The sequence below is a fragment of the Homo sapiens genome, chromosome 8 (assembly GCF_000001405.40).
Source record: "Homo sapiens chromosome 8, GRCh38.p14 Primary Assembly".
NCBI lineage: Eukaryota > Metazoa > Chordata > Mammalia > Primates > Hominidae > Homo > Homo sapiens.
In genome coordinates this window covers 108,237,765-108,258,848 of record NC_000008.11, presented here as the reverse complement: position 1 = coordinate 108,258,848, position 21,084 = coordinate 108,237,765, and the positions used below count along the sequence as shown (strand labels likewise).

The following is a 21,084-nucleotide window of genomic DNA, read 5'->3' as shown; positions in this document are numbered from 1 at the left end:
CCCTCAGAATCTAGCACTGTGTCTGGCTCAGAAGAGGGATGAAGAAAATGTGTGTTGACTAAATGAGCTGGAAATATAACGAAAGAAGGCAGACATTGAATTGTAATAGGCATCTGCATGTAGTATACAGGAAAGGTTATTTGATTAAAATGTTAAGACTATTTAGAAATATCTGAGATATATGGAATCAGCAGATATGAACATTCTGATTGCTAAAATATGTGCACCACAGTAGTGGCAGGTATTCATTAGACTATCCCAAAACATAAGCCAATTTCTTTCAAGAACACATAGTTCTAGATATCCAGGTTTTGTGCACATTCATTTATTTCTAGAGCATTTACATTTATTAAATACTTTTTTTTTTTTTTTTTTTGGAGACAGAGTCTTGTTCTGTCACCCAGGCTGGAGTGCAGTGGCACGATCTCGGGTCCTGCAACCTCCACCTCCTGGGTTCAAGCGATTCTCCTGCCTCAGCCTCCTGAGTAGCTGGGACTACAGGCACATGCCACCATGCCCAGCTAATTTTTGTATTTTTAGTAGAGACAGGGTTTCACCATGTTGGCCAGGCTGGTCTCAAACTCCTGACCTCGTGATTTGCCCGCTTCGGCCTCCCAAAGTGCTGGGATTACAGGCATAAGCCACCGTGTCTGGCCTACTGAATAACTTTTATGTGCCAGGTACTGAGATGGGAACTGGAACTATAATAACAGATATTCATAGTCTTTTGTTATGAAGATGTTTAGTAGGAGGAAACAACAACAACAAAAAAAGCAAACTAAAATGTTATAGGCTTTGAGGCCAGGTGCCATGGCTCACGCCTGTAATCCTAGCACTTTCAGACACCGAGTCAGGCAGATCGCTTGAGCCCAGGAGTTTGAGACCAGCCTGGGCAATATGGCAAAACTCCTTCTCTGCAAAGAATATAAAAATTAGCTGGGTATGGTGGTACGTGCCTATAGTCCCAGCTACTCGGGAGGCTGGAGTGGGAGGATCACCTGAGCCCAAGGAGGCCCAGGCTGCAATGATCTGTGATTGTGCCACTGCACTCCAGCCTGGGCAACAGAGTGAAACTCCATCTCAAAAAAAAAAAAAAGTAATAATAATGTTATAGGCTCTGAGATAAAAGTTTGTTGCCAGTAGAGAGTGGTAGAAGAAGAGACTGACGACTTTAGATAAGTTTTGCTAATGGGAAATAGAGAATAAAAAGATGCTTCATCCAAATCTTAAAATATGACAAGGTGATCAACAGGGTGAGGACAGAAGAGCATTTTAGACTGAAGGAGCTTTATTGAAGAAACAATAAACTTGGTGGCTTACTTGAGCAGAGCTTACTGTGGAAGGGGTGTAGGGTTCTGGAGAGATGAGGTCCCGAAGAACTTTATTTCATGGGCTAAGAAGTTTTGACTTTATATTACACAAAATTGGAAGTGACAGAGTATATTAAATTGCTAGGGCCACCATAACCAACTACCACAGACTGGTTGGGTTTAAGAACAGAAATTTATTTTATCACAATTCCGGAGGCTGGAAGTCCAAGATAAAGGTGTTGATAGGGTTGTTTCTTCCGAGGCCTCTCTTTGGCTTATAGATGTCCATCTCTCCCTGTGTTGTTACATGGTCTTTACTCTGTACATATCTGTGTCCTAATCTCCTCTTCTTATTAGGACATCAGTTATATTGGATTAGAGCCCACCCCAATAATCTCATTTTAACTTAGTCACCTCTTTAAAGACTCTACTTCCAAATACAGCTACATTCTGAGGTACTGGAAGTTGTGACTTTGACATATGAACGTGGAGAGAATATAATTCAGCCCATAAAAGGGTTAGATCTAATTTAGATAATCAAGACAGCAGTGTGGACAGAGGCAAGACCAGGACAGGGAGACCCTTTGGAAGACTATTGCAGTATTTAGTTTGTATGGGTGATGATCCCAAGGTTGGTTTGGTTGTTGTTTTATCCCTGTCATGGCTGATAATCTGAATTTGAACAAGAGACACAGAGGGAAGCATGGCAAAGGAAGATGTCAAAAGGGTCAACAGGAATATCATGTTAAGGATCACTGGCCTGCAGGATAGAATTCAGACTCTTTGGCACAGTCCACAGGCTTCTGACAATTTCCCTCTGATCCCTCAGTGCAGCAGACTCTTGTCCTGCCACTCAACACAGTGCACGCTGTGCCCTCTAGCCATAAAACCTCACAGTCTCCAATCACACTAGGCTTTTCCTCAAGGCCAAGCCTGTGTGCCTGCTCTGCCCTCTGCCTGAAGTATTCTTTCTCCTCTTCTTAGCCAGCCAAACATCTATCTATTCAAGTAGAGGTAGTCAAATGTTGCCTTCTTCATGAAACTCGAACGTTCTCTGACAGCGAGGAACTTCCTCCCCTAGACTCCCAGGAGTATTCTGCCTAGACACTCTCATTTGGTGCTATGACTAGTTTACATTTTACACACTTGCTACTCTGACTAAATTGTAAACTCCTTGTGGGCTGGGACTGGCTTCCCTTGTTTCCCCATAGCTCGATATTGTGATCACCAAATGGGAAAGTCTTCAATAAATATTTGATAAATGTGTGAGAATCAAAGTCTACACCTGTTACCACCTAGACACTACCAGGTAAAGCCTTGCCTGTGCTTTCTCTGTGATAACTCTCTTTAACTAAAACACTAAGAAGAGATTAAAGAAAGTCAGATTTTCCATATTTGGGGCTAAATCTCTCTTATAAAAAGAAACAAGATATTTTACAAACCAGCAAGGAAAATTCCAGGGGAAAAGCCAGGGGAATCAGCAGAGTTTCCAATCTGTCACCACTTTAATCCATCTTGTAAATCACTTCCAGTTTAATTTTAAAGGACAAAACACCACTGTCTTCATGTCTTTTTCTATTTAAGAATTTAACAAGTGGCTCCCTTTGCCTATCTGATCAAATCCAAGTTTCCCCATATGGTTTTGAAGACCTTCCATGGCCTGGCTCTATTTTACTCATCAAATCCAGTGTCTACACAACTGTCAGAATCACCTCCCTGAAACACAGACAGGATTATTCACTATCATACTCAAAAATACTTCAAGGCTCCTTATGACCTAAGATAAATCTCAAATTCCTCACATTAGTTTTCTACTCTAGTAAGCCCTCATTTAATGTTGTCAATAGGTTCTTGGAAACCGTGACTTTAGGCAAAACTAAGTATAATGACACCAAGTTGTTGGGTTTATTTTCCTCATCAATGTTATAAGGAAGTGACCTTGAATGAAATGACATTACTAGAAGACCTGCTGTACTTTGTTTCGCTTAAGGCTGCAGTTTCCAAGAACTACCGACAACATTAAGTGGGGACTTACTGTACTTGGCCCTGGTTTTTCTTGTCCAGGAATTCTCCCCTATAGACTCCAATCATCAGCTCACTTCCCGAGTTGTCCTTCACAGATATTTCTTACATTTTCCTGTTTCTGTGCCTCTACAGTGTTCAAGTTGTTCCTGAACCACCTGTACTGTTGTCTTCCATATATGTAGTACAAGTTAGCAGTCTTAATACAAAAGACTTCCAATCCACTAACCTTTCCATCTGCTCTACCTCCACTGATAATCAATTCCTGTTTGGGGTTAGTCTTGAACTAACAGCACCATCTGATATAGTTAATTGCTCTTTGCTGCTTGGGCCACTCTCCTTTGACTTCTAGGACACCACTTTCTCTTCTTCCTCCTCTTCTTTCTTCCATGAACTGGCCGATCCTTCTTTAGCTTTTTTATTTGATCTGAGTTGTCCCAACCTCTACAGGTTGAAGTATCTAAGATTTAACCCTGCTAATCTCTTTTCTAAACACATGCATACTCAGATTTCATCCAGTTCCATGGTTTTCAATTTCATCAATAGGTTAAAAAGATTTAATTTTCTATCTCCAGCTCTATCTCCTTTCCCCTGATTCCAGATTCATATGTTCTACTGCCTAATTAATATCTCTATTTGGATGTCAAAAAGGCATCTCAAACATAGTATGTCCAAAACTAAACACTTTATTTCCCTCTTCCCTAAAACTTGCATCTGTCATACCCTTCCTCATCTTAGTAAATGGCCCTCAGTTCTTATAGATCTTACAATCGTCTCTGACGCCTCTCTTTCTCATCTAATCCATTAGCAAATTTTGCATTGAAAATACGTTCAGAATTGCACTGTGTCTACAACTCTTTCACTGCTACCACTTTGGTCCAAGCCATAATCATCTCTTTTTTGAAGTATTTCAATAGTATCTTTACTGATCTCTCTGTCCCTGCACCCCTAACCCTCAAGGTGGTCTTTCTAGAGCTGATTATGTAAACTCCTCTGCTCAAAATCCTTTTAGTAGCTTCCCATCTCATTTAGAATATAACCAAAGTCATTAACATGGCCTATAAAGCATTATGACATCTGGCCCACCATTGCTTCTGAGTCCATCTGCTACCACAGCTACTCTTAGTCAGCTCTAGCATTTCTAGCCTCCTTGCTAATTCTTGGAGGACTCCAAGCACACTTCTGCTTCAGTATCTTTATACTTAATATTCCTTCACCAGGAATGTTCTTCCTCTAGACAGTCACAGGCTCTCTCACTTCCATCAGGTTACCTTTCAAATTCTACCTTATATGTCCGGGTATAGTGGCTCATGCCTGTAACCCCAGCACTCCGGAAGGCCAAGGCAGGAGGATCATTTGAGGCCAGGAATTTGAGATCAGCCTGGGCAACACAATGAGACCCTGTCTCTACAAAATTGTTTTTTAAAAAATTAGCCAGGCATGGTGGCACATGCCTGTAGTCCCAGCTACTCAGGAGGCTGAGGTGGGAGGATTACTTGAGTCCTGGCGGTTGAGGCTGCAGGTCAAGCTGATACCATGCTGCTGCATTCCAGCCTGAGTGACAAAGAGAGACCCTGTCTCCCAAAACAAAACAAAACAAAACAAAAAACAAAACCAAACAAAAAATTCTACCTTATAATTGAGGCCTTCTCTAACTACTTTATACAAATTAGCAACCTTTCCCCATCATTCTCTAGCCTTTACCTTGAGTTATTTTTCTTCATATCACTTATTACCACTTAACAAAGTATATATTTGTTAATATGTTTTTATCTATATCCTTCCACTTGAATGTAAGTTTTCTTTAGAGAATGTTGTTTTCTTTCCTTCTGTATTCCCTGGACCTAGAATAGTGCCTAGCATGTTGTAAGCATTTAGTTTAAATTGAATAAATTAATAATTATCATCTATAAGACTGAAAGCTCCTGTGGCCACGGACTAACACTTATTGATTATATATTCCCAGTAACACCTAGCTTAGTACCTTGCATGTGGTAAAAGTTCAGAATGTTTGTCAAATAGAATTGCATCTTATTTCTCTCTGCTTCTCAAAGATGCTCTCTGTTCCTTTTTGGAAAGTTTTCATACTGCTACCTGCTTCCTTACTTCCTATGCTCTACCTCACTTCTGCCTCTTTTCCTGTTTATATTTTATTACAACTTCCTGGGATTTCAGGAAACTTCAAATTACAACTGTTATTTCTCAACTCTTAGAGGCCACACAGACTATGCCCCACAATTTAGCAGCTTATACTAACATGTATTCTCTGCTTCATGGGCATTCATCCTTGCTTTCCCAACAATACTGTAAATGGCATAATGGTAGAGATCATATAATACTTCCACATCATTGAAAACATACAAGGTGACATGCATTGTAAGCAATCGATAACTATATCAACTCATCCAGAATAGTATCTCCATTTGCTTACTAGACATGACCACTCAGATATTTAATAGAGATCTCATTTTGCCTGAAACAGAACTCCTTGTTTAAGTACCCATGCATATTCCTTTGCCATTCTACCCCATATACTGGTCACCAGAAGGGACTCAGTTTCTTAAGCCCAAAGTGCAGGAATAAACTTCTTAATTTTGAAATAGAAGATTCACATGCAGTTGTAAGATCAACTTGTAAGCACAGGGGAGATCCTATTTGCTCTCTACCCAATTCACCCTAATGGTAACATCTTGCAAAACTATAATACAGTCTAGCACATCCTCAAACTATTAAACAGAGATGTAACCCAGCAATTCCACTCCTATACATATACCTGAGCAAATTGAAAACACATGTCCACAAAAATACTTGTGCACGAATGTTTATAGTAGCATTACTATTATTATTATTATTATTATTATTATTATTTTGAGACAGAGTCTCGCTCTGTCACCCAGGCTGGAGTGCAGTGGTGCGATCTCAGCTCACTGCAACCTCCACCTCCCGGGTTCAAGTGATTCTCCTGCCTCAGCCTCCCAAGTAGCTGGGATTATAGGCGCATGCCACTACGCCTGGCTAATTTTTGTATTTTTAGTAGAGATGGGGTTTTGCCATGTTGGCCAGGCTGGTCTTGAACTCCTGAATTCAAGTGATACCCCCACCTCAGCCTCCCAAAGTGCTGGGATTACTATAGTAACATTATCCTTAATAGCCAAAAGATGGAAACTATATAAATTTCCATTTACAGATGAATGCGTAAACAATAAGTGGTCTATAACTACAATGGAGTATTATATAAATACAATGGCCATAAAAAGGAATGAAGTACTAATACCTGCTACAACTTGGATGAATCTTGAAATCATCATGTAAAGTGAAAAAAGTGGGACACCAAAGGCCACATATTATACGATTCCATTCATATAAGCATCTTGAATAGGGAAACCTGTACCGATAGGAAGTGGTTGTTTAGGGCTGGAGTGAGGGGAATGGAAGGATAGGGGAGTTACCCTTAACTAAAGGGTACAAGGCTTCTTTTTGAAGTGATGAAAATGTTCTACAATTGACTGTGGTGATGACTGCACTTATCTGTGTATGTCTGTGGAACTGTATACTTTAAATGGGTGGACTGTTTGGTATATAAATTTTATCTCAATAAAGCTGTTGAAAACAAAACATAAATTACAGTACAATAGCACAACTAGGATAATGACATAGTTAAGATCCTGAGCATTCCATTACCACAAAAATCCCTGCTATTGCCTTTTATAGCCACCCTTACTTCCCTCCCACCCCCACATCCTCCTTAACCCTTGGCAGTTACTAATCTAGTTTCCATTTCCATAATTTTGTCATGTAAAAATATTATGTAAATAAAATAATTTAATATGTAACATTTGGGAACTAACTTTTTTTTTTTGAAATGGAGTCTTACTTTGTTGCCCAGGCTGGAGTACAGTGGTGAGATCTCAGCTCACTGCAACCTCCACCTCCCTGGCTCAAGCAATTCCCCTGCCTCAGCCTCCTGAGTACCTGGGATTACAGGTGCACGCCAGCATGCCCTGTTAATTTTTTTGTATTTTTAGTACAGACGGGGTTTCACCATGTTGGCCAGACTGGACTCGATCTCCTGACCTCAGGCAATCCACCTGCCTTAGCCTCCCAAAGTGCTGGGATTTCAGGCATGAGCCACCGCGCCCGGCTGGGAAGTAACTTTTATTCACTCAGCGTAATTCCCTGGAAATTCATTAAGGTTGTTGTGTGTATAGCTAGTCCCCTCCTTTTTAGCTGAGTAGTATTTCTAGAAATCATTTTGATTTTTACTCTTCCTTATCCATCATATCCAATCCAGGAGCAAGTCTTGTTGGTTCTACCACCAAAGTCCATCTTAGATCTTATCTCTTCTCGCTACTTGTATGAATATACTTGTCTATACCACCATTAGCCCTCGCCCAGTCTGAGAACATCAAACTGATCCTGCTGCCTTCATTCCTGCCCCTTCACAATTCATTTACCACACAATAGTTAGAATACATTTCAACTAAAAATCTTTACATCAGGCCAGGTGCAGTGGCTCACACCTGTAATCCTAGCACTTTGGGAGGTTGAAGCGAGCGGATCATGAGGTCAGGAGATCAAGACTATCCTGGCCAACATGGTGAAACCCCGTCTGTACTAAAAATACAAAAATTAGCTGGGCACGTGCCTGTAGTCCCAGCTACTCAGGAGTCTAAGGCAGAAGAATCGCGTGAACCCGGCAGGCAGAGGTTGCAGTGACGCGAGATCGCACCACTGCACTCCAGCCTGGCAACGGAGAGAGATTCCGTCTCAAAATAAATAAATAAATAAACTTTACATCACTCTCCAAAGGCCTACCTCCTTCTTTTACTCATATACACATTCAAAAATATTTATTGAGTGCCAACTATATACTGGGCATTGTTTAGACTTTCGAGAAGCAGTTATTATATTTAAAATAATGACAAAATCCCTGATCTTGTGGAATTAATACAATAGTCAGGGAAGACCAAAAGTAAATAAAATAAGTAAAATACTGTAAAACAAAAAAAATAAAGCAGGAAAGCAAGATGAGAAGTTCTTGTAGGCAGGTTAGTTACATTTTTAAATAGACTGGTCAGGGAAGGTCTCATTGAGCAGATGACATTTGAGCAAAATATGAAGGAGACAGGGAAAGAGCTATGCAGATAACTGGGAGAAGAACATTCCGGGTAGAGGTAATAGCAAATATAACAGGACAAGATGAAAGCAGGATGGGAGTAGCTGAGGAACTGAAGGGAAATCTGTGTGGTTGGAGTCAAGTGAGCAAGAGGGGAACATTTAGGAGATGAGGTCAGAGAGGTAATGGGTCCAGATGATCTACTGGCTTGTTAGGTCACTTATAATACCTACTACATCTTTTACTCTAAATGAGATAGCAAGCCTTGGAGACCTTTAAGCATAATTTGACTTTTAAAACTTCACTCTGGCTGCTTTATGAAGAATAAAGCACAGGAGGAAGAGGGGAAGCAAGGTGATTAGTGACGAGGTGATTCCCAAAATCAAAGCAGGAGATAGTGGTGGTGTGCACTAGAGTTGAAACTTCGGAGGTGGTGTGAACTGATTGGGTCTGAATATGCCGTAAAGATTAGAGTTAAAAGGTTTTTTGGTAGATTTCATGCACAGTGTAAGAGAAAAAGTCAATGATGACTCTAAGGTTTTGAGTCTGGGGAACTGTACAGATGGAGTGGCCATTCACCGAGGTGAAGAGTGCAGCTGGAGCAGGTTTGGTAAGCTACATGGGGAAACTTGGTTTGGGACAAGCTCACGTTGAAATGCTGGGTACATTTGAGTCTGGGACTAATAGTCAGTTTTGCGGCTATAATTTGGGAGTTGTCAATGTGCAGACTGCATGCAAAGGACGTTACCATTTAGGGCATTGGTCTAGATGGAGAAGAGGTCCAAGATCCCTGGGGCTCTTCAAAATGAAAAGGCCTAAAAGATGAGAAGTAACTAGCAAAGGACACTGCAGAGTACTTAGAAAAAAACCCCATATTCCTTACCATAATCATGACCTGACCCTTGTCAAACTCTTTAACCTTACTCCCCAGTACACACAGGCCATTCAATTTTTGAAACGCACACACTAAGTCCCTTCCTGTCTCATGGTCATTGTTTTTGCTGTACGTTCCAACAATCATGTTTTTACCCTGGCTCTAGTTTTAATCACCTCCTTCTCTTACCACAGCTCTCAGCTAACTTGTTACTCTATCAGACTTTTCTCTAATTTCCTTAATTCCTATCTGAGTTTTCTCTAACCATCCTAATTAAATAGGTCCAACCCAACCATCTCCACCAAATTATGGCTCTTACTATATCTGAAATTTGTTTCACTTATTTTCTGTCTAAAAACCCACCCTCACTTTAACAATCGCTTACAAAATGATTAGCGTATGCCAAATGAAAAAGCCTAGATATTCTTCCCTGTATGTAACTTCCTGGAAAGCAGGGGCCTCCTCATGTTGTCCTTTGCCGCATCCCAATGCAGTCACATTGCCTCAGCAATCAATTCTGAGCTTTCAATAGTTATTAACGGAATAGACTGCAAGCCACTGACTGGTAATCGAAGGCCAGCATTAGAAAGAGGATACCGACAAACCTACAAATAGAGGGATCTGTTTCCGTCACTCGCGCCCTAACGCAAAGGGTGGGACAACCCGCGCGCATGCGTCGTTGTCCTCTGCTCTCCAGGGTAAACCCCGCCCCTTTCTTTAGGCCAGTTTTACCACAGCACATGCGCAGTACAGGATCTGTCTGTTCGTTTGTCGGCGCTACCAATAAAGTTTTAGTGAGCACAGACTCCCTTTTCTTTGGCAAGATGGCGGAGTACGACTTGACTACTCGCATCGCGCACTTTTTGGATCGGCATCTAGTCTTTCCGCTTCTTGAATTTCTCTCTGTAAAGGAGGTGAGGGGGTCTTTGGGCGCAAGGAAGGCGTGGGGGCGGATGAGGTGCTGAGCAAGGCCGAAAGGTGGTGTCTGTAGTCCTAGGCCTGACACGTGCGAGGCGGTCGCGAGTTTGGTTCCTGGACGGACACTAAGGATCTTCTGGTAGTTTAGCGTCGTCTCAGTTAAGAAGCACCGCACTATTCGGCAGTGAGGAGGAGGGAGGTTACGGAGAGAGAAAAGAAGTCTCTTTCACTTACTGAGGTGTCAGTGCGGGAGGGATTTTCGCATCATTTCTTCTCGGAAGTTGGCGATTCGCTGGTTTCGCTAGAGAACGTTAGAGCTTCACAGGCTGGCTTGTAAAAGCAACCTGGAGTGCTGTTAGAGCTTTTGATTTTTCTTTTGGGAACTGTGGGAAGCCTGGGCTTGGCTGTGGGTTTTTGCATGTCGAGTCTTTTGGAGTGATTCTCTTACACTTAAAATAAGTATCTAGCGCTTTAATTTCCATGAAGTTGTGAGTTCTTTGCGTTTTCTTGTCTTGGTTAAGTAGGACTTTCTAGAACAGCATATTTCGTCAGATGGGGACGGCGCTCCCCCGCCCCCCCCCCCAGAAAAAATCCCTCCAATCTTTAAATGTGTTTTCCAGTGGATATATTGTACTGACTTCATGTGGTTTGAATTGGTCGTTAATATTCAATTATCTACTCAAGATATCATGAATAAATGTGTAATTCTGGAACTTCATTTTAAAGCATATGTCAGTCCTAAAAGTTTTATTGGACTTGAAAGTTTTGGCTAAAAGAAAATTGACATTAGTTATACCGTGAGTTTATTGGGAAATTGATGCATTTTAATAATGCAAAGTAATTTGCAGTGATGAAGGAATTCGAATTTTTTCAGAAAAATAAGTGAGTTCTGTTTCTGGAAGCAGACTACAATATAAGTCTACTTAGGGAACTCTAGATTTGGGGAGTGGATTTTGTGTAGCAAAAGACAAAAAGCAATAAAACAAAAACGTCCCAAAAACCAGCGTCCAGGTGTTGTGGCTCGTTAGACAGGTATAATCCTCATATTCATATGCACCTTTTCTAAACATAGACAACTCTAAAGTTGTTGACGTTAGGTAACGGCTAAGATCATTTTCAGTAAATGTCCAAGAATGTCTTGTCATGTAAAACTTTCTCTTGATATATTTTTGCTTTGATTCTTCTTTTTACACCTGTATTTTAGACCTTGAGTAAAACATTCGCATCTGCATTGTTTTCTTTTCTGGAAAAGTGAGGACAAAAGATCTAGTAAAAATGCTATATTTTGAAAGCCTTTACCAGCTGCTTGTAGAAGTACTTCTGAACTAGCTGAACTTTATATATTTTTGTGTTCTTTATAATTTCATTTTTTTTATGGCACACAGAAGGAAAGGAGGAATATGTAAATGTGAATTAGATTTTCATAGGGCTAGACGAAAACTATGAACTGCAGGCAGTTGAGAATCAGTGGGAAAAACTGCCCAATACCCACCTCTTTGGAGAAAATGTTGGTAAGATAGCTGTAATACACCAAGAGGAAGACAGATGCTGGAGTATTTAATTAGCAATTTCTAAGTACATTTGACTCTTGGACAGTACAGGGGTTAGGAACGCTGAGCTCTCGCAGTCAAAAATCCGTTATAAGTTTTGACTCCCCCAAAACTTAATATATCCTAATGCTGACAGGAAGGCTTACTGAGAACATGGACAGTCCTGTGTTGTATGTGTTCTATACTGTATTATTACAATAAAGTAAGCTAGAGAAAATAAAATGGTCTTAAATTATAAGGAAGAGAAAATACATTTACTTTTTAGTAAGTGGAAGTACATCATCATGAAGGTCTTCATTGTCTTCATATTGAGTAGGCTGAGGAGGAGGAGTAAAAGGAGGGGTTGGTCTTGCTGTTTCAGGGGTAGCAGAGGTGGAAGAAGTAGAGGAAGTGGATGGGAAGTCAGGAAAGGCAGGCACACTTGGTGTAACTTTTATTGAAAAAAAGTTGTGTATACGTGGACCTGTGTGGTTCAAACCCTTGTCGTCCAAGGGTTAATTGTATAGGGCCATATAACTGAGAAATCCAAGATAAAACCCAGACATCTCACCACTAAACAACTTACCTATCCTTTAGAGTTGAATGTTTTTGATATAAGGTAAAAATAAATGTCGAAGAGGTAGGTACTGGTAGAGTGCTATCAAAATTGAGATTTTGTTATCTTCAGTGAGCAAAGAGGACTTTGAGGAGGTGAGGCTTTGAGTCTTGAAGGCAAAATGGTTAGAATAGAGTCAGTGATCCTGCTATGTGAGGATACAGCAGCCCCCCCCCCCCACACCCCCTTAGCAGTTTCAATTTCTGCAGTTCCAGTTACTCATGGTCCAAAAATATTAAATGGAAAATTCCAGAAATTAGCAATTCGTAAGTTTTAAATTGTTCGCCCTTCTGGGTAGTAGGATGAAATCTGTCTCGCTCTCTTGCTTAAAACTGGGACATGAATCATCCTTTTGTCCAATGTATCCACACTGTATATGCTAACTTAATTGTTCTATTTTGTTATTGTTCATCTCTTGTTCCCAGTTTATAAATTAAACTTTATCATAGGTATGCATGTATAGGAAAAAAACAGTAAATATAGGATTGGGGCTATCTGCAGTTTCAGGCAGCAGCCGCTGGGGGGTCTTGGAACATTTAGCTCATGGATAAGGGGAGACTATTACATTGCACCAAGAGAAAAACAGTTTCATATATTTGTAGTACATTGGAGAATATAAGCTTCATGAGAGCAGAAGCTTCCTTGTGCTCTCAGCACATAATATGAGTCTGGCATAAAGGCTTTTTATGATTGTTTAATAAATGATTGAATGAATACATACTTGTTTCTCACTCTTCTTTATTTTCATGTGAAGCAGAAGGCCAGATAGTGAAATATTTAGGACCCTGGGCTCTGAATTGGACCTTTCATGACTCGGTCATTTAATACCTCTGTGCAGTCAGAGCAGATTCTTTTACCCTCTTAACCTTTTCTCATGAATAAAATGTTAATACTACCACCAATCTCATCGGGTTAGAAAAATTACATGAGATAATGCATATAAAACACTACGCTCTTCTGGGACAGAGTGAGTACTCCTTAATGTTTTGTGTTTTGAGACAGGGTCTCGCTTTGTCACCTAAGCTGGAGTGCAGTGGCACAATCTTAGCTCATTACAGCCCTGACTTTCTGGGCTCAAGCAATTCTCCCACCTCAGCCCCAGAAGTAGCTGGGACTACAGGTGTGCGCCACCATGTCCGGCTGATTTTTTTTGTATTTTTTGTAGAGATGGGGTTTCACCATGTTACCCAGGCTGGTCTCAAACTCCTGAACTCAAGTGATCTGCCACCTTGGCCTCGCAAAGTGCTGGGATTACAGACATGAGCCACCACCCTTGGCTCTAAATGTTTTTTATTTTGGAAGACTAGCCCATTCTGTATTGGTATGGGATGGGAGGGGGGGGCAGTGAGGGTTTTGAGGAGTAAGGTAAGGACTGGAAATGGTTACTAAGAAACTGATCAAAGGAAAGTACAAGGATTGGTTAAGTGTGGAGGGCCCAACTGAGATTGGAAATCATACCTTAGAGCTAATAATGGGGTCATTCTCAGGGCGAGGAGCGGTAGAAGGCTATGGGAGTAGTATAGACATATTTAGGGGTAGGCTTGTATGTAAATGCCATTTAGAGAAGCACAGATGTGATCGAATAACATTATTCCCTAATTTTGAAACATTTTGTAGTCATCCTTAGCCAGAACCTAGAGAATAGGTGACTTTTTTTCCAGAGTTAGTGATTGACACTGAATTGTATATAGTTGGAGAAATTAGTTTGAAAGAATCAATGATAGAACTGAAGAGAAAATCTTTGAAATAGCTAAAAATGATATCCAAACTAAGGCAGAAAGTGACATCAAAAAGGGTATTACAAAAATTAGAAAGGGCAGAAAGTCTGAGATGATGAAGATTTTAATGGTAATGGTGGAAGGGGTTATCAGTTTTAAGTTGGAATTCTTGGAGATGAGGGGTTATCAGTTTTAAGTTGGAATTCTTGGAGATGAGATACATGATGAAAATTGTCATAATTTGAGGAATAAAGGAATTTTAGGGCTCAAGCTTTTAAAGAGTCATCAGTATGGCATTATATTTGTGTTGAATGACAGCAGAGGAAGAGACAGCAAAAAAAGATTCTTAATCTGTTAAAAAGTAATATGTTTTCAAGAGGTTGATAGACGACGGATCAGCAGACTATAGCCTGGGAATCAGATAGCAGCCTGTTTTTGTGTGGTTTTGGGGCTAAGAATAGTTTGTAACAGAGGAACATTTGCAAACATTAGCAATTATAGAATATTAACTTTATACCCCAATTAAGTGAAATAATTTCTCTTGAAAAAGCATTCTATTCTTATTAATAGACCTGTATTACAAAAACTTTTACTGTTATTATTTCTGTTTCAAAATTTTTAAAAAATTGTGGAAATTTGATTCTCGTTTTTCATGTGAGTACTTATATAGTATTTTCAATTGTTGCTTCTTGATACAAAGTCTGAAGTATTTGCTTTCTGCTTATGAGGCAGAATTGAGAGGCATATGTAGATTTGAGAACAGGACAGTAACACCTGATGGTAGAGGAGCAAGGCTATTGAATCTATTGTGGAGAGAGACGTGGCAAATTAAAAGTTACTAGTGGAGTGGGGAGAGGTAGCGTGCTTGGAAAAGAATGTTTTTATTTAAGATTAGTGTTTCTATAGGGCAAAGTGATGAGAAGTTAAGGTTTTTTAGGTAAATTTTTTATCAGATATGACGTTCATTCATACAAGTACACAAATATAAATGTACTGGTCAATGATACATATTTTTTTCAAAATGAATAGCGAATACATTTATGTGACCACCACTCAGATTAATAAATAAAACATTACAGACATCCTTTTTTTTTTTTTTTTTTTTTTCTTTTTTTTTGAGACAGAGTCTTGCTCTGTGGCCCAGGCTGGAGTGCAGTGGCGCAATCTCGGCTCACTGCAAGTTCCACCTCCTGGGTTCACGTCATTCTCCTGCCTCAGCCTCCCGAGTAGCTGGGACTACAGGCGCCCACCACCACGCCCGGCTAATTTTTTGTATTTTTAGTAGAGACAGGGTTTCACCGTGTTAGCCAGGATGGTCTCGATCTCCTGACCTCGTGATCCGCCTGCCTCGGCCTCCCAAAGTGCTGGGATTACAGGCGTGAGCCACTGCGCCTGGCGACATCCTTAAACCTTCATCTTGACCCCTGTTAGTCACTACTCACACCCCCTAAAGGTAAGCTGTAGTCTGATGATTCATTTTGCCTGTTTTTGATTTTTATATAGGTGGAGTTAAGCATTTACCACCATGTACTGCTTTGTATGACATCTTTCACTCAGCATTGTTTGTGAGTCATCATGTTTTTAGGATAGCAGTAGTAGTTCATTGATTTTTCAGTGCCGAATGTTAATCTATTATGAGTATGCTGTGGTTTGTTTTCTCATTTTAACATTGATAGACTTGGCTATTACAAATAGTGCTCCTGTGTACATTTTTGGAAGTGCACTTTGACTATATGCACCCATTTGTTTTGGATGCCTCGAAACAATTGCTGGATCAAAAAGTATGTTTGGCTTTGGGAGATAAAAATCTTACAAAGTAGTTGTATTCCTGCCAGAAGAGAATAGGTTCCAGTTAGTCTACATCCACACCAACACTGGTATTGTCAGGATTTTTTAGGTTTTTATTGTAATTTTTAGTATGCATTTCCTTATGATTAATGACGTTGAGAACCTTTTCATGTGTCTGTTGGCCATTTGGTTGTCTTCTTTTGCGAAGTGCCTATCTTTTAGCCATTTCAATTGCAAGGTCTGTCTTGTCTTACTCATTTATAGGAGTTCTGCATGTAATTTGGAAGGTTCGATTTTGCTCTCATGGCTAAATACCCTTTGACCACCTTCATCTTTATTTTTTGTGGGCAGTGAAATATTGTGGCATTTTCTTGGATTTTTCTTTCCTTGCAAAATTAAGTTCAGTACAGAAATCTTTTCTTTTGCTGAAGCATTTCTGTCCGTGAATATTTTGTAGAATCTTTACATATTACTCAGTACACTTCATGTTGTTGTGAGTTTGTGTATATGTATCTATTTGCTCCCTGTACTATAGGTTAAATTATGCTTTTTTGGATCCTTTGCAAAGCAAAAGCCTGATCTGACATGGTTGACTTAAAAACTTGGTGCAGGTTGTTTCAGCAATGTGGATGGAGAAGCATATAGGAGTTTATTACTGATTACCTGGATGTGGAGAAGTGACAGCTATATGTGCTTTACAGGAAAGATGGCGTGGGTTTTATTTATACACAGCCTTGCCTAGAAAGGGTAAGAGATGGTTTGTAGGGACACATAAAAAATAAGGTCATGTAAATCAGAAGTAGGTGGGAATGTCTACAGTAATTCTCTTCATTTTAAAATTTTTAGGTAAGTAAAATACTTTTACGTCTATAGGTTGGTTGCTTGCCATATTGCTTGCCATTATTACAAGAGGGGAATGTTAATGGTTTATCGTATTTTATAAAGTATTTCTTGAAATATATTTCCAGGTAAATTAGTTTTAGTATTAATCAGTTTATTTGGGGAACTTAAATATATTCATTAGAAAGTTATCTTCTTTTGCAGATATATAATGAAAAGGAATTATTACAAGGTAAATTGGACCTTCTTAGTGATACCAACATGGTAGACTTTGCTATGGATGTATACAAAAACCTTTATTCTGATGATATTCCTCATGGTAAGTTTTGTCATTAGAACTGAAACTTGTCTTGTGACTTGAGGATGTGTGTATTAAAGTTTTATGATTTATAAGACAGCTTTAGCCAAAAGGCTTAAATATGATTTGAATGTTAATGTTCTTTGGGTGAGAGGTTATATAAAGGTTTCATATCTTCCGAAATATATTGTTTTCTCCCTGTGAAAGATGTGGAACTACTTTAAAATATGGTCATCAGATGCCTTCATTTCATAGTATGTATCATCAAAGTTGTGCTTATGATTCACATTCCTTAGAATTATCTGAGAATGTTGCAGTTCTTGGGTTGCTAACTTTTTCAGTTAGTGCATTGTGTGCCTTAGAGTTTTGTGTTTTTTTTTTTAATTTTGAGGCATCTAGTGTAGACATTGTTCTCCAAATATGGTCCCCAGGACCAGCATCATCAGTTCACCTGGGAGAGCTTGTTAGAAATGCAGGTTTTTGGCCACACACCAGACCTACTTAATCAAAACTGTTAAGTGGTCCTCTTAAGTTTGGGAAATAATTCTGTGTCATTTCTTCAATGCACATTACATTTTTAAAGGTTCCAAGAATTTTGGCAGTAGAGAAATACAGTATACTGTGATTAAATTGGCATTTCTCAAAATTTGATCATAGATCTTCTGTGTTTCAGAAAGACTGCTCTAGAATATACTTTCTAATATATAATACAGACATTATTACATTAAACATAATCCACATGTTTGACTTGTAGTTCCCTGCAATAACAGTATCTCTTTTTTAGTTTGTCATGGATAAACAAAAAGGAAACTATTTCTTAGTTTCTTTCTTTTTTTTTTTGAGATGGAGTCTCGCTGTGTTGCCCGGGCTGGAGTGCAGTGGTGCGATCTCGGCTCACTGTAAGCTCCGCCTCCCGGGTTCACGCCATTCTCCTGCCTCAGCCTCCCGAGTAGCTGGGACTACAGGTGCCCACCACCATGCCCAGCTAATTTTTGTATTTTTAGTAGAGACGGGGTTTCACCATATTGGCCAGGCTGGTCTTGAACTCCTGACCTCGTGATCAGCCCGCCTTGGCCTCCCAAGTTGCTGGGGTTACAGGCGTGCGCCCTTGCCCCTGGCCTATTTCTTAGTTTCTTAATGAAACATTAAGGTGTTACCAGAGTTGGTTATGTGCAAGTTTTCTCCACCTTTTCATAGTATAGTAAAAGGAACGATAGAATTTGGTTTGAGAGATTATAGAGCTGGATTTGTGGTTAAAAGAGATTATTTAATGGATTTAAATTCCATTCAACCTAGTTGATAACCTGTAATAGTAATATGTAAATCCCTCTGAGTTTTTCTTCAAAAACTCTGGGATAATATTCACCTAAGAAAATTAAATGAGAACAAATATAAAAACACTTGGAAAGAAGTTTCTGCAATGGAGAATTAAATGATAGATAATTGGGTCCTACCCTTTTTTTCTTTCACATCCCTCTGTCACCCCAAGGCTGTATATTCTCTAGTTTCCCTCAAGAGTAGGAAGAGGATTCCCTTTTCCTTTTTGTGCCTTTGTATTAGTAGAAAAAAGAAATTAGGGATCGGGGACATTTCTGACTGAGTAGCCCATGGCATATGAATATATTGGGGGTAAATAAATATATGTATAGTTTAAATACACTGAAAAATTTCCAGACATTCTCATGATGAGTAGCACAATTTAACATTCCTTAACATTGTAGTGCTCTTCTGCATTTTTAATTAGCTTTGAGAGAGAAAAGAACCACAGTGGTTGCACAACTGAAACAGCTTCAGGCAGAAACAGAACCAATTGTGAAGATGTTTGAAGATCCAGAAACTACAAGGCAAATGCAGTCAACCAGGTAAACTCGTCTTAATTTTGAATTCTAAAAATTCTCCTTTCTGGATTAATACAAATGTTAATTCAAACTTTATCCAGTATCCCATAGTAAAAGTTCATGGTTTAAATGAGTGCTTTATTCATTTTTAATTTTTGTTTATCCTTATTTTGTAGGGGCCAGTATAATTAATAAATGTTAATATTAACACTAAGTTTTTTTCCTAAAAAAAACTTCTTTAGTACTTATCTATACTGATTATACTACAGAAATTCCATCTCCTGTTTCCCCCTTCCTGGGGACATTTGGCAATGTCTGGAAATACTTTTTGGTTGTCATAACTGGAGGGGTGCTATAGGGACCTAGTGAGTAGAGGCCAGTTATGCTGTTAAACATCCTACAGTGCATAGGACAAGCACTGCTGCCGCTACTCCCCAACAAAGAATTATCCGACTGAAAATGTCCATTAAGAAACCCTGTTCCACTGTGTGGTGGCTCACACCTGTAATCTCAGCACTTGGGGAGGTGGAGGCAAGTGAATCCGTTGAGCCTAGGAGTTTGAGACCAGCCTGGGCAACATGGCGAAACCCTCTATCTTACCAAAAAATTAAAACCAATAAAAAGTTAGCCAGGTGTGGTGGTGTGCGCTTGTAGTCTCAGCTTACTTGCTACTTGGGAGGCTGAGGTCAGAGGATGGCTTGAGCCCGGGAGGCGGAGGTTGCAATGAGTCAGTGTCATAATACCACTGCATTCCAAAGTAGGTGACATAATGAGACACCATCTCAGGAAAAAATAAAAAAGAAACCCTGTGCTTGGGCAATACCTAGAACCTTAGAACACATGGGTATCTCGTTATAAGAGAAACCTGAGCTCACTTTATCCCTGGCTACATTCTTTCATACCCTTCCAAGCTCCATGCCCAAGGAGGGTAGTTTTGAGCTGATAAGATTATTTTATTCCTAACTTCCCTTTACCTACAAATAGACGTTACTGTTTCGTTTCCAAAGAAAACATATTGCCTTAGTCTGACGTAGTACATGTCACGGGTGGAAGTCTTTTGGGTTACTAGAAACATTTAAAAATAAAATCTCTTACTAAAATTGAATATTGTCATTTGAGATAAATCCTAGCTACCAGTAAATTCACTTGAGGAATTGCTGGATATTTTGCCGTGCTATACCTTTGATTTCTATGTATTTAAACCAAATTTTTAGAGATTGGCTCTTAAGTTTTCCTTTGTGATTTGTGAAGGTGTTACCAGATATTTTTAGAAAAGCAACAAATATACAATTACTGTGCCATACTATAGCGTACTATACTATACTATACCATACCATACTGTGACATATACTACATACAAATGCAGTTAGCTCTCTGTTCTGCATCTGTGGATTCAGCCAACTGCAGATTGAAAATATTCAGGGAAAGAAACTAAAAAATAACAATACTACAATAAAAAATACAAATAAAACTACAGTGTAACAACTAACAACTATATGATATTTACATTGCATTAAGTGTAAGTAATCTAGAGATGATTTAAAGTGGATGGGAGGATGTGTATAATTTACATGCAAATACTGTGCTATTTTACATAAGGGACTTTAGCACCTGCAGATTTTGGTATTTGAGGGGGCTCGTGAGTAGGGGGTAGGCAAGGTCTTGGAACTAATGCTCTGGGGATACCAAGGGATGACTATATGCGGGAAAACACACAGAGATATATACACACATCATGCGCATAGACAGAGCTATATATTATACTAAACTACTTTTATGCTTTTAGAAGAAGTAATTTTAGATCTTCAGGTCACATGTAGGTGATTACAAAGGGACAGCGGAAATAATCCAGATGTTAGACTACAACAGAAAATTTAGGATGCTGTAGTTTAGTCACTCAAAGACTGGGAAGTAATGGGATCAGAGCATGAATAAGATGAATGTACATGTGTTCACCAGTTAGAAAAAGAGGATCCTTGTAGCTTAATAGGTACTGAGTTTGAGATAAATGAAAGGATCATGTGTTAAAAACTTGTAATCTTATACTTACAGACTACCTATTTTCAATGTAAAAACCTTTTTCTGACAATTCACCCTTTTTAAATTTCATTGAATATATAGTATCGTACTTACACTTTCCCGGAAATAATCAGCCAGAGGACAGTGATTATATACGTGAGTGGTATGAGTAGTGCAATACAAAGTTATTCAGTGTGA

The 21,084-nt window shown here is 39.3% G+C and overlaps 1 protein-coding gene across 1 annotated transcript in view; it reads left to right on the top strand.

The window, feature by feature from the left end:
* Nucleotides 1–10,131: 10,131 nt before the first annotated feature.
* Nucleotides 10,132–21,084, top strand: part of EIF3E (eukaryotic translation initiation factor 3 subunit E) — a 47,502-nt gene continuing 36,549 nt past the window's right edge. The window contains exons 1-3 of the mRNA NM_001568.3: nucleotides 10,132–10,236; nucleotides 16,936–17,050; nucleotides 18,774–18,891. Coding sequence (NP_001559.1) covers nucleotides 10,147–10,236; nucleotides 16,936–17,050; nucleotides 18,774–18,891 — 323 coding nt within the window. The 5' untranslated portion in view covers nucleotides 10,132–10,146. The remainder of the gene's footprint in view (nucleotides 10,237–16,935; nucleotides 17,051–18,773; nucleotides 18,892–21,084) is intronic.